Source organism: Homo sapiens, chromosome 11, assembly GCF_000001405.40.
Source record: "Homo sapiens chromosome 11, GRCh38.p14 Primary Assembly".
Lineage (NCBI taxonomy): Eukaryota > Metazoa > Chordata > Mammalia > Primates > Hominidae > Homo > Homo sapiens.
The window spans coordinates 109,973,588-109,987,447 of record NC_000011.10 but is presented as its reverse complement, the minus strand read 5'-3'; the positions used below and the strand labels follow the sequence as shown (position 1 = coordinate 109,987,447).

Here is a 13,860-nt window from a genome sequence, read left to right as displayed (position 1 = left end):
AGCCATGCTGTTTCATCTTCTGAAGCTTTGATAACATTTCTTCATCATGCCTGGACCACCCTTTCTTCTTGTTACTCCTCCCACTTTAACCCTCATGTGTGCTCAGTTTTTAAGACACAACTTGAGTCAAGAAGCCAGTCTGATTCCCATATTACCCTAAACTCCAACTTTGTTTTTTTTCTTTTCTCTCTGTTGCCCAAGCTGGGAAGCAGTGGTTAGATCACAGCTCACTGCAGCCTTGACCTCCCCAGGCTCAGATGATCCTCCCACCTCAGCCTCCTGAATAGCTGGGACTACAGTCTCACACCACCGTGCTCAGCTATTTTTTAAGTTCTTTGTAGAGATGGGGTTGCCATGTTTCCCATGCTGGTCTCAGACTTCTGGGCTCAAGCAATCCACCCACCTCAACCTCCCAAAGTGGGATTACAGGTGTGAGCCACCACACTCAGCCTCCAACATTTAGAAAAATCAATTATTTTTGCCTCCATCATAGCTGCTGTAACTCTTTGTTGGTCTTATGGCTTTCATGTGTGTCTCTACTTGGACTATAAACTCCATGAGGCGGGTATAGTGTTGTATATGCCATTTTATTACCAGATGTGACTTATGGTTGTTGCTCCCACAAGTGTTAATTGACTGACTCACTGAATGTATGTATCAATTTATTCTATTTGTCATAAAAATGCAAAGGGCTTGAGAATGCTTGATAACCTTTGCCATTAGGGTTGACAGATGTTACTCATTACACTGTGTTTACTGTGGCTTGGGCCCCACTGCATAATAACTCAGATTAATGTAGACAAATGTTTTCAAACTCTTAGGAAAAATGTGCTCAGAAAGAACATAGTCATTTTGCTACCTAGAACTAATTCTTAGATCATTACAAGAGAAATGAATTGCCTGACAAGAATTGGAAACACTTAAGGAAAAGTTGATTAAAGAAGACTTCATGAATGATGAATTATAAAATGTAATATCTGTGGGAGAGAGTTTTACTGACATTTAAATAAAGGCCAACAACACAAGCTGCAATTAAGCATTTACCATAGCAAATAAAGCACCATGAACGTGTTCATTCTGAATCACAATTATGTGCCATTCTGAATCACAATTATGTGCCATTCTGAAATAAACGTTCATGATCGGCAAGAGTCATTGATTGGAGTCTTGTGTTTTGGACGCTTTTGTGTTTACCATGATGATCACAAGTCCTGCTATGCAAAGGCAAGTGTGTTTTGCCTCCTTTCCCTGGGCTCCCAGCCCTTCTTCAGTCCTTTGCCTTCTGCTTTCCAGACATTTTTGCTTTTTAATGACACTTTTTTATAAAGTCCCCTGTGACTTTCTGATGAACAAATCCAGTGATCCCAGCCTAGAGTTTCTGGGATATTTAACATACAGATTCAATGAATACTTATTTATCATTTACTATGTGTCAGAGTTACTGACTGGATGCACTGTAATTTAAAAAAAGCAAAAGCCTTCCCCTTCTTCCAGAGAAAACCCACCAAAAACGACAAAGCAAAAACAAACAAACAAACAAACAAAAAAATAAAAACAAAAACCCAACCAAACTAAGTGACAACAAAAAATAGACTGGGTTTCTGACCTTAAATGTCTTATTATCTAGTAGGAAAATAGACATTAAATAAATAAGCACTGCAATAAGCATTTAATTAAATTCTGATGAATGCTATGAAAGAAAAGCATTGTGTTCTGAGAAACAATAACAGGGAAACTTATTTAACCCAGGGATCAAGGTAGCCTCTCTGAGAAGAAGACCTAAAGGAGGAGAAGGGAGAAAAAGTCCAAATGCAGAATTAAAAATAAATGATAGTTTGCAAGATATGTTCAATAGGACAATACGTGAAGAATATCCCCCAACTAGTAGATGAAGAGGAGGAATCTTCAGCTCCACCAGGAAACCAAACACTCCCGGGGATAAACATGATAAACGCAAAGAGAAAGCATTCATGGAGCCATATTTTAAAGATAAGAGGGAAACTAGCTTACAACATTTTTCTCACATTGAGGTGGTTCGGAAGAAAGATGAGAGAACCAAATTGCTTGGTCATACATATAAGGAATGTGAAATTTATTGTGTAGATATTCCAGCAAAAGAAAGAAAAGAAGTTGACTTCCTATTCAAGACATTTTGCTAAATTCCATCCAACACACCAGAGAATTTCTGAGAAGCTGGTTTTTCTTCTGACATGTAGCGGATATTCCCTTAATCCTTGATAGCACCTAAATGTAGGGTATATCCACAAGCTCGGGAATGAAGAAGATAAAATCATTGGCTGAAAATTGCTTAACGCATCTATGACTGCAAATGATAAGTATGAAAGAGAAACTGATAGTTTTTATAGAAGTGAAACTTCCTTTGTGTGGTTAGCACATGTGATTAAGACAACGGCAAAGTGTACTTACTACCCCTGGCAAAGTGTACTTACTACCCCTGTTTGGGCTTTTCTGGATCCTAGGAACTTTCTTATATAGAAATAGGGAAAAGGTCTTTTTCTTTCTCCCTCTTTAAAGATTAAAAAAAAATTAATCAGTAGTTCTCAACCCCACTACACATAGAAATTACCTGTGGCACTTTGAGAGCTCTATATGCCCTGAAACCAACTCGGGAGCTCCTTATTCAGTGGGTTGTGGGGGTAGAGCAGGGGTGGAATGGCTTAGGGATCAATAGTTGAAAAAGCTTCCCAAGTGATTCTGATGTGAGCCAAGTTAAAGAACTACTTCGGTAGGGCCTTATTTACTCTCATCTCTTTTTTTCTTTTTAAAATAATCTTTGTTTTTCCTAAATCAAATTAGCACTGAAGGAACTTTAAATAACTAAAATGATCAGATTTTTTTTTTTTAATAAAAGGAGAGAAAGGAGAGGCTTGGAAAACTTCCACCAAGAATGTCTGTGCTCTTATAGTTCTAGCCTTATCCCTTACATTGTAGGGAGTGGTGAGTGGCTGGGCAGTAGGTCCCAGTAGGTAAATCTGGCTTTGACTGGAGGACTTAGCAGGGTTTCCTAAATATTCTCACTTGCCATAACTTCCACTAGACTCTACATGTCTACAACACAGTCCCATATCTGATGTTCTCTCCCTTTGACAGATCACATGTTCTAATTTGTGCTTCTGAAAATGGGGCCCTTGGAACCATAAGAGCTTCCCCCATTTCCCTTGGCTTCTCCTCCCTTTGCCTTCACTTACCTCTAGCAGATGCCAATGTAGATCCATAATCCTTTCTCTGAAACCTTTGGAGCCAAATGTGGATTGGAATTCAAGATGGATTGGAACTCAAGACTTTTGAAGGGTAAACTCTGCATTGCATATTTTACACACTTCCTTCAGTGTAGTTGGAGGAACACCCTGTGATCAAACATTTTCATGTTTCTACAGGAAACACAGAACTCCTCTCATGAAGTGGGATGAATAAAGACCACAAGCAGCCTCATACGTGTTCAGTTCAGGTTCTGCTACCAGATGACATTGCCAGAACTTTTTGAATTAAAAACTCAAGAGTTTCAGAGCTCTTTGGATTTTGAAATTGTGAACAAGGGATAGAGAATCCTTGGTAGCTTCATCGTTTAAAAATTGGTTGGCAAAACTACTTTTTCACAGACTTTACTAGTTTTTCTCATCCTTGTAACAAAATCATAAGTAACATGAAAAACCAATTTCCATGGTCAGTTGCTTTCTGAATATTAATACTTTCAATTTGGTCAGAAATGGAAACCCCAGATAACCCTAGTTTATTTTTTTAATGGCAAAACTAAAATAGATTCAAACAAACAAACAAACAAACAAACAAACAAACAGACATTTAGAAGCTATATCATTGAATCCTGGTGGCTCAAGTTCAGAAATCTAAACAGCCGCCTTGAACCTAAGGTGAGCCATTTTGTTAACCCATGGTCATCCTATTAACTCCGTTCTTCAGCCTTCAGACATCTTTTCCCCCCTCTAATTGTAAGTTATATAGTTTTCATAGTTGGATTGGCTGAATTTCTCTTAGATTGTCCTTGCTGGGGTTCCTGGGGTTAGGCGGGCTTGCTGAAGAGACCATATGGGTAAATGTTATGTGACCTCACTGTTTTTATAGGCTGGTGAGGCCCAAGAGACGTTGAGTTCTGTGCATTTATTTTCTTATTAGGTTAGCTACTTACTGTTTTAGGACAGATTTTCTCCCTGTGTACTTCTCAGAACATGTGATATAGTTGGTGGGTGGTAAAAAAAGAAAAAAATCTCCTTTCTTTTTAAAATAGTTCATAGTAGAATTTGCTTTGGGGAGGAATGGGCTTGAAAATATCTTTTTTTAAAAAATTAAAAAAATGGATGTTTATTTACCATCAATCTTATTTCCATCTTGCTTAAGAGCCCATGGAAGAACAACTTAAAATCACTTGGTGGTGGTTCCTACCCCTTCAGTGGCCTGAGTCAGGGGAGCTGCAGACCATTCTTCCATAGCAGGTTGAATGCTGTAGTTTTCAGTCGAAACCTGCTGAATGGCCACAGGGGCACCTGCTTGCCTTCAGACCAGTCTGCAACCTCTGGTTGAGTAGCAGTGGAGTCAGGAGCTAGGGTAGTCCATTCACTCTGAAATTCCTCCTTGGTCACAGTCTTTTCAGCAGCAGCCTGTTCTTCCTTTTCAATCTCTTCAGGATCTCCATGGAAGTAGAAATCAGGCATGACCTTGATGAGTGTTCACAGGAGATGGTGCCACTTGTGTGCAGAACTTCCTGGGCCAGTCTCCACCACATCAGACCCACTGAGTGAACTCCCTTATTGTTGCATGGGATGGAGATGCCCACAGAGCACAGAGGAGAATCTGTGGAACACAGAGCAATGGTAGGCAGGTTACCATAAGATGTCTCTGTGAAAAGCTGGTGGTTAGCCCTGGGATCAGTAACCACCAAAAAACACGGCTCCTGGAAGGCTGCCTGGATTGGGTTAGTGAAGGTTCCAGGAGTAAAGCAGCTAGCAATAGGATTTGCTCCAGTGGCAGTAGCAAATTTGAGCACAACCCACTGGCCAGGATTCCTGGAGGACATGACACTGACATCAGCAGTGTTTTCAATGGCAACAATAGATGAGCTGTCAGCAGAAGCTTCTCCCAGATCCTCTTCAGACTGATGATGTAGATGCTGTCACTTTTCCTCTGGAAATCAAGGTTGGTGCCACCTAAATGAGTTCCTGCTGCAAGGAATTTAAGGACATCCTTCTCCTTCAGTTGCAGGACATCAAGGGCTTTGGACATTGTAAAAGTTTCCCTTTAAGCTACAGGAATCTAGAATACATCTTGATGGAGCATTTGGGAATGAAAAATCCTATCCCCATGATAGGATTGAGAAGTCTTAGGGCAGAACAAATGGAAGGTAGAATGATTTTTCATTTAAAACAAAATTGCTGATGGGGGCAGAGGTCATATAGGAGAGAGAATGGCTGAGCAATGTGAGAAATCAGCAGAGAGACTATAGAACTAGGTTGACTGTTATTCAGATCTTATTGTTTATGGGTCAACTGTGCAAACTCTGTATATTTCCTAACTTCTCTAAACTTTCTATAAAACCTGCTACCCAAAGTCTTTGTGTGAATGATTTTTTGTGTTTGTGTGTAAAACCAAGGAAGATAGCGGAATACCAGTTCAAGAACCCAGTGGGAATAAAGAAAAAGTTGCAAGGTGCCAAAGTGCAGAACAAGAAATTAGCTGAAGCAAGAGGCACTCAGGAGAACATAAGCCCTGGAGAAATACATGGAAATCTTGCAGAGGGAATTGGACTTTCAATATCGGGTGTGCTGGAGACCAGAAATAGTCTTGTCTAGATTTTAGGAGACAGGGTGATCCTAGATATCACCTAGGTTAAATAGTATATGGTCAACAGAAGTTATAAATGGCTTATTTAAACAATGGTAAACTGGACTTAGAATGTCACAGTCATCTCATAATGGTAAGAGTCCTGGAAAGGGACTTAGAAGTCCTGGGCTTGAGTTTTGTGGCACAATAATTATGTGACTGAGAAGACAGCTAACCACTATGAGGTACAGTTTTCTCATCTGTAAAAGGAGAAAAGAAACTAATTATTGGTCCTTTCATTTGGAAAATGGCCCAGATAGTAACTAGGATGTCCTAGGAAAATGCACACAATTTGGAATCTGAAATGCCCATGTGAAATATACAAACACATCCTGCTTTTGCCATGTGCTGGCTGTGTGACCTTTGGTCAGCTACTTAAATTCCTAAGCCTGATTCTTTATCTTTAAAGTAATAAGCATGCCTCAGGTGGCTTCAGGAGGATTAAGTTATTTAGCCTAGGTAAAGTGCCTGTGGTAGAGATGCTTGATTAAATATTAGACCCATATCTCTCGAATATAAGTCAACTTCTTTGCTCAGTTTTCTTCCCCATGACCTTGTGGGAAAAACATTTCAGTTCTGTTTTATAGAGTAGTCCAACTTGACACCCACTTATCCCTGCTGAGCAGAAAAAGAAATCACACCAAGCAACAATTCAACTGCACATTTTGCCAATTATATGGAATTTAAAAGCATATATTCAAATCCATATGCTGCTATGGTTACTGATTATAATACACTAAGGGTTTACGAAGAAAACTCTATATAAGGAACAGTATTCAGAGAAGTGATAAGTTTTGCCTGCTGATTCCTTCGTCACTATGTAGTTTCTATATTTAATATAAACCTTTCCCAACATCAATTCTAAATCCCAAGATTGTTTGTTGTAATAATCCTGAGAAATACAGTAGTAATGGAATTCTTATCAACTTTTTTTTTTTTTGCCTTGGAATGATTGGGGGCTGCCTCTGTCATCCACTTCACTCCTATCTTCACCAAGCCAGGGGTAGTTCCAGTTAGGCTTATAGTGAATAAGGTATAAAATCCTCAATTCTTCCATGAAAATGAGACATCCCTTTCTTATGTCCCAACATTTCTTCTCACTAGCCAGCTATCATCAGGATGCCTTGGACAGGCCTCCATCCCACTAAACACTGCCTCTGCAGTACCACTGAAGAACACCTAGGGTGAAGGGTTAGGTCTACCTGCCTTCTTTCCGTCCATGTTTCTTAGGTGCCTAGGGTTTCCATCTCCCTAGGGTCCTAGTGCCTTGGGAGAGGAAAGGGAGCTCTTTCCTCTACCTCAGAAGTATTGATAGGGCCAGGTTTCCTGTCCCAAATCTGCCAAGTCTATTTCCTGCTGGACCTCATGGTGTCTCCCTTTTATCCACAGTGTGTATCTGACCCATACCTAATAAAGGACTCCATAATAAGGAAAGTGGGTCTGAGGATAGGTAGAAAGCATGGGTCACTATACAGAACCATACAATTATATTTTCTTAATTTTGGTTCACATTTTCACTTGTTTACTGAATGGAATAAGTAAATATTGTATTGCCCCAACCTGCATTTAGTCACCCCTAGGTTGAAAAAAGAGTTCTTAGCTGAAGAAAAATTTCCAAACAATTATTGTGCTTCAGAAGATGATGCTCATTTAGGCATTGTGTCGAATTATGTGCTACTTATATTTTTGACCTAGTATTTCCTTTTATTTGGGTAGGCTATAGTCTTTCTTTGATAAGCATTTGTAATCCTGAATTTCCCACTTCCTAAGGGAAATAAGCAGATTGTGAAAGTTTACTACATTTTCATGAAGATGGTAATGAAGTACACAAATATTTGACGTTAATTTACTTCATTTTCCCTGGGGGACCCAGGATGTCCTAAATTGTAAATATATCTTAAGCAGAGAAGTCAGTGTTTCAATGTAGGTATGACATCAACGCTATGTCTCAGATTTTCACTGATGGGCAAAAAGACCTTTATTAGGTCAGTGTGACCAAATTGTGTTAATGTGGCTTGCTCTCATAAGGGAAATGAGATATAGAAAGATTAATTTTAGGGGTTCAGACTTTATCAGAATTTATAATTGAGAAGACAGATTGGGGCTCTAAATCTGAGACTCTCAGACAGTAAACAAAGGGGAAGGAATATTTATCATTTTTTTTTTTTTTGAGACGTAGTCTTGCTCTGTCACCCAGGCTGGAATGTAGTGGCACGATCTCAGCTCATTGAAACCTCCATCTCCTGGATTCAAGTAATTCTCCTGCTTCAGGCTCCTGAGTAGCTGAGATTACAGGTGTGCACCACCACACCTGGCTAATTTTTTATCTTTATCTTTTTAGTAGAGATGGGGTTTCGCCATGTTGGCCAGGCTGGTGTTGAACTCCTGACCTCAAGGAATCCACCCGCCTCAGCCTCTGAAAGTGCTGGAATTACAGGCATGAGTCACTGTGCTGGGCTATTTAACTTTTAAAGAGGTCACTTTCCAGAAGTTGATTGTTTTGGAACTCAGCACAATTTCACATAGGATTGAAGTTATAGGTGGCAGTTGCTTTAGTCTAGTATACACACATGCAAATGTAGAGCACAAGGCCTGTGAATCTGGAGCTTGGCCCAGGCATGGATTGAGGGAGCTGGAAGAAGACTGGATTTTTATAGAGCATCAGCTTTGTAGTCAGAGCAGGCTGGGGCATGAATGCTACAGGCTGGCTCTAGGGATGGCCCTTGGCACCACGGCCTTTTGGTTTATTGAAGTCTGATCAGTAACCACAATAACCATATCAATTTGACTTCCCATGCACTTATTAAATCTGTGAAATTGTCTTTATTTTTATTACCACCAACACGGCACCACATCCCAACAGGACTCCTGGAATAACTTTCTAACTGATCTGCTTTATATCTACTCTTTCTCATTGAGTCTCCATAATATAACCAAACTGATCTTTTAATGATTAAATGTTTAGGGAATCATGGCTGTTTTGAAATCTGTCAGTGGTTTCTCATTGTCCTTACAATAAATACCCCAGTCCTTACTGAAGTCTACAAGGCCTTCTACAATCTGGGCTCTCTGTACTTCTGCAACCTCATACTGGGCTGTTCTTTACAGTGATCTTATTTCCATTCTCAAATACGCCAACCGTACCATGTTGGGACCTTCATGCATGATGCTCCTTTTCCTGAAACACTTTGACCCAAACTCTGCTTGATCCACGGGCAATATTCTTGTATTGGCAGGTTCTCAGAGGTATTCATCTATGATTAAAGCTCAAAATCATAAAACATTGGATAGAGGCCTTTCACAGGCTGATTAAAACATAGAACTAGATTTATTTGATTTGAAAGTCTTCAGCATATCCTATACATACACACATACACACCGCATTATTAAAATGAAAAAAAGTTTCATAAAATATGTTAGTTTATGAGCTGCCATTTAAATCTTATGAAACAGGAGAGTTCCCTGACCCCCCTTGCAGGACATGCAACAGGGGTGTGGCTCATCTGTTTGGCCGCTGTGCACTCAAACCCCTTACGGGATGGAGAGCACAGAGACAGGTAGGTGCAGGAGCTGGAGCGAGTGCTTTTGAGCTCTGGCCCCATGGTAGCATCTAGTGGTTGGTGCCTCTGACTCGCAAAGCCCCAGTGGGTGTGCTACAGTGCTCTTTTAGCTCTGCTGTCTGTGGCTTAAGTGTTAACCAGCTCAGTGACCCCTTGGTACCTGGGTTCTTGTCTGGCATCCAGGAAGAGTCAGGTCACACATGGACTTGAAGGTTGGTGAATGTGGGGGGTTTATGAGTAGTGGAGGGGGCTCTCAGTGGGATGGATGGGGAGCTGGAAAGGGGATGGAGTGGGAAGATGATCTTTCCCTGGAGTTTGGCCATCTAGCAGCCGATATCCTCTCCAACCAGCCCCAGCCAAACTCCTCTCGATGTTCAGATGCTCCATCTCCTCTTTTCTCTGCTCCACCATTCTGCTGCTCTTCTGCTCTTCTGTTCATCTGCTCATGGAGCCTGGAGTTTGGGGTTTATATGGGTACAGGATAGGGAGTGTGGTGGGCCAAAAGGCAACTTTTGGGTGCAAAAACAGGAATGCCTGTTCTCATTTAGGGCCTCGGGTTTCCAGGCTTGAAGTTGGGGCCTTTGCTGGGGAACAATCCTTTTCTACCCAGCATTTCCCTGCCTCCTGTCCATATCACTTAGAGCTAATGTTTTAGTTCATAATACTTAAAATTACAATACAAACATGAATCATATCTTGAAAATTCCAGGCAGGGTAAAAAAAAAAACCTTGATCAAAACATTTAAACTCTATCAAATGTTATTATAAGGTGGGCAGATTGCTCTCCCAAACAACAAGTGGTTATAATGAAAAGGAGACTTTCCTTCATTTGCCAATTAATTGATATTTCCATAAGTAGTTACTAGTAAAATAATTCTAATGTTTAATATAACTTAGGTTCTGTTCAGTGGTCATTTACTGAATGGTCTATAGGCCAGAAGTAGCCTACATGTGTTTTGTTTCATCTATTGCATATTAAAAACATTTGAAGCAGTATTTAATAATTGGGAGAATTAAAATAATGGAGACTTCTGCTTCCCTTTGAACATGGAGGCACTGATGACCTAAGATCCATACTCCCCACATGGAAACAATCAGCTGGAGAGGAGCGGGAGGTATTCCCTTTAGGTACGGCAGTGTTTCTCAATCCTGAGTGTGCATCAAAATCACCTGGGGGGCTTGTTAAGCCATAGTTTTCTGGGCCCCACCCTAGAATTTCTCATTCAGTAGGTCTGGGATGGGGCCCCGAAATTAGCATTTCTAACAGGCTCCCAGATGATGCTGATGCTGCTGGTCAGAGTCAGAGTCCACACCTTGAGAACCACTGAAGTGGGGACTATGCTTTTCTGTTCACAGCAGTGCCCCTACTTCTTGTTGATTACCTTAACCTGAATATCCACTGCCATTTATCAAACTCACATTATTACTTTTTGCATAATTAGAGAATATTTTTCCCTATGTATTTATCTTGAAAGTGTGAAGATAACAAAAAAAGGAAAAAATATGTTTGTGGAAGGAAAGAATATTCCAACGTGTTTGCTATGCAAACACTTGGCCCTCTTCACCCATGTGCATTTCCTATTTTAGTACATGGCTTCTGGACCCTTTGAGTTTGTGAGCTCAGTGTTATGGTACTTTTCACACAGAAGAAGACTAAACTTGGACAGTAGGGTCTTGGCTTTTAGTCATTCAGACCTGGGCTTAAGCCTCTGGATCTGTAGTTTACTAGCTCTGTGACACTGGGAAACTTCTGAATCTCATTAAGTCTCATTTCCTCATGTATAATATAGGGATCTTAGTAATAACTATTCCACTGGGTTATGGTAAAATTAAAAAATTGAATGTGATGTGTCTCGCACATAATAAATGCTCAATAACTATTATTTGTCAAGGCATTTATTGGCATTTTAATACTAATTTTAGAATAATGCAACCGTGAGCTGGAAGGAGAGGAAAGGAACTAAGCAGAAATGGAGTCAGGAAACTGGAAAAGCTGAGTTGGGAAACTGGAAAAGCCGAGTCAGGAAAGTTAAAACCCAGAATGAGTAGAGGTTTGCAAAAAGCACAAAGGACAACAAAAGTGGAGTCTCACAGTCATTTTTAGAGTTAGAAAAATAAGGAAAGAATATTGATTAAGGAAAATTAATGTTAATAGACAATAGGAAAAAAATTCGAGAAATATTGAATTGGTGTTTGAATTTTTTTCTTCTTGGTCAAAGAGAAGTATTTTCAGTCAGAAGGGAAAAATAAATATTAGTAAGAGGAATCTAAATTCTTAGATTTATCTAAGAATCACAAAGAGCTATCCAAATGAGTTCATATTAGCCATGTTTGTATAAACCAGGTCATTGGTTCCTGGAAGAAAGGGCAGGTAAGGTTGTGGAAACATAAATGACAATCGATGAGGAATTACAGAGCATGAGCATGTTCCCTTACAACCACAGAGACCCATTTTAATTCTGATTTCCAAAAGAAAGAAGAGGAAGTGTCTACTCATTCTCATGACTTTATGAATTATAAACCAATAAGCTTGATGTGTACCCCAAGTGAAATAGTAAATGAATTGATCATCAGCATTTAGGAAAGGAAAATAATGAGTATAATTGGGGTCATTGGTTCTTAAATGAAAGTTTTATCAGTATACTTATTGTCTTTTTTGATAAGATTATTAAACTAGTGGATCATGGAAATGATTCACTTATTCAGCAACCATTTATTGAATACTAGTTAGGTGCAGACACATGGTCTGTTTCATTTTTTATTGGAGAAACAGCCAATATGTTCACCTGTTAATGAACATGGGATACAATCAAACATTCCGGAAAGAATGGAACAGAGATCAAACCAAGTATACACATGCCCACACAAAAAGATGGGCTTTTTCAAAATTGGAAATACAGGAGTTGCTGGATGAGATAATAGAAAATGAGTTAATTTTAGGACTTGTGTTTAAAATGTGTTAATGATGTAGCTAGAGATGTCTATTAACTTACAGACACAGAGCTCAGAAGGCCCTAGGCTGGAGATAAGGATCTGGGAATCATTAGCTTGTATAGATTGTCAAAGTTATCACAATGCCTAAGATTTCCCAGGAGGGGCATGTTGAATGAGCGCCCCAGCCAGAACGCAGGAAGAATGAATATCTAAGAAAAGAAGAAAAAGAGCTTATAAAGAAGACAGAGAAACAAAAAGCGGGGAGGTAGGAGGAGAATCAGGAGAGAGTGATGCCACTGGCCAAGGGAGGAGAGCCATTCCTGTGAAATGCTGATGGCCAGCTGCATTTGGAAGCCTTGCTTCGGTTGTGACACCAATCTGCACTGATGTGGGAGTTTTCTCCAGCAGCTCATGCTGAGCTAGCAGGGTGTAGGAGAGGAAAAGGGAGATAGACTGAATGGTCTATATTAGGAGGTTTGCAGAAATAGTAAAGTGGAAGAACAAGGAAAATAGTAAAGAAGTTATTAAAGAAGTACATTCATATGGTGCTTAAATTTAGCATAATGTGATGTTGGGTGGGCAGCCAGAATCTCAGTTGTCTTAATTAATACTCAAAAGTAGCATAATTGGGCTGTGCACAGTGGCTCACACTTGTAATCTCAGCACTTTGGGAGGCTGAGGTGGGAGGATCACTTGTGCCCAGGAGTTCAAGATTACAGTAAGCTATGACTGTGCCATTGCACCCCAGGGTGGATAACAGAGCAAGACTCCATCTCTTAAAAAAAAAAAAAAAAAAAAGGAGCGTAGTTGAAACAAATAGTCAAATCTAGCAGACGAAAAAATCTAATGGAGATGCATATACATTCTACACTTTGCCAGGGAATTGTCAGAGTGCTGAATGAAGCAGAGACGAGGACAAATTCCTGTGGAATAAAGCTAGACACTTACTCCACCTTCTTCTTTTCTCTTTCTCCTAAAGTGACAATGAATCTTTAATTAATATTTTCTCTTTTAAGAATGGATTTTAAAAAGACAATGAGTTGAACCAACGTTTTTCCATCTGGACATAAGATAACCACGTGGAGGTCAATTGACATTCAGATTTTGTAGCTGACTTTCAACTCACTGATAATATTACATTGCTAATAATATAGGTAACATTTTATGTGTTAAGTAGTTTTACATGTGTTTATGTGTATAGTAGATCTATGAATCTCAGTCCATAGACTGCATTGATCTAGAAAAATAACATTTCCTCTAACTCAATTTGATGTTTTATCTTTGTACTAGCAGGCTAAGGGTAACACTCTCCGATTATTATTGGTTTCTCTCTTCTTCCCGGGGGTTGAGACAAAGACCCTGTTGGGATTTACTTAGTGCCTTTAGCAGTACATTGAGGGAGGGTGAGCCTTCTGGTCCCTGAGCCATCTGTTCCCATTGAGTTACCCTGAGAGAGTATTTGGCTTGCAGCATGGCCTTTTAGAACTGGAGGCTCACAGAGATATTTTGCTGC

The 13,860-nt window shown here is 39.8% G+C and overlaps 1 pseudogene, besides 1 other annotated feature; it reads right to left on the bottom strand.

Moving 5' to 3' along the window:
- Positions 2,455-2,574: an enhancer, noted in NCBI's record as "active region_5495". NCBI's record gives its function as "activates an Ori minimal core promoter by ATAC-STARR-seq in GM12878 lymphoblastoid cells {active_cell/tissue: GM12878}" and the evidence as "EXISTENCE:reporter gene assay evidence [ECO:0000049][PMID:35858748]".
- Positions 4,437-5,050, bottom strand: RPSAP50 (ribosomal protein SA pseudogene 50; annotated as a pseudogene).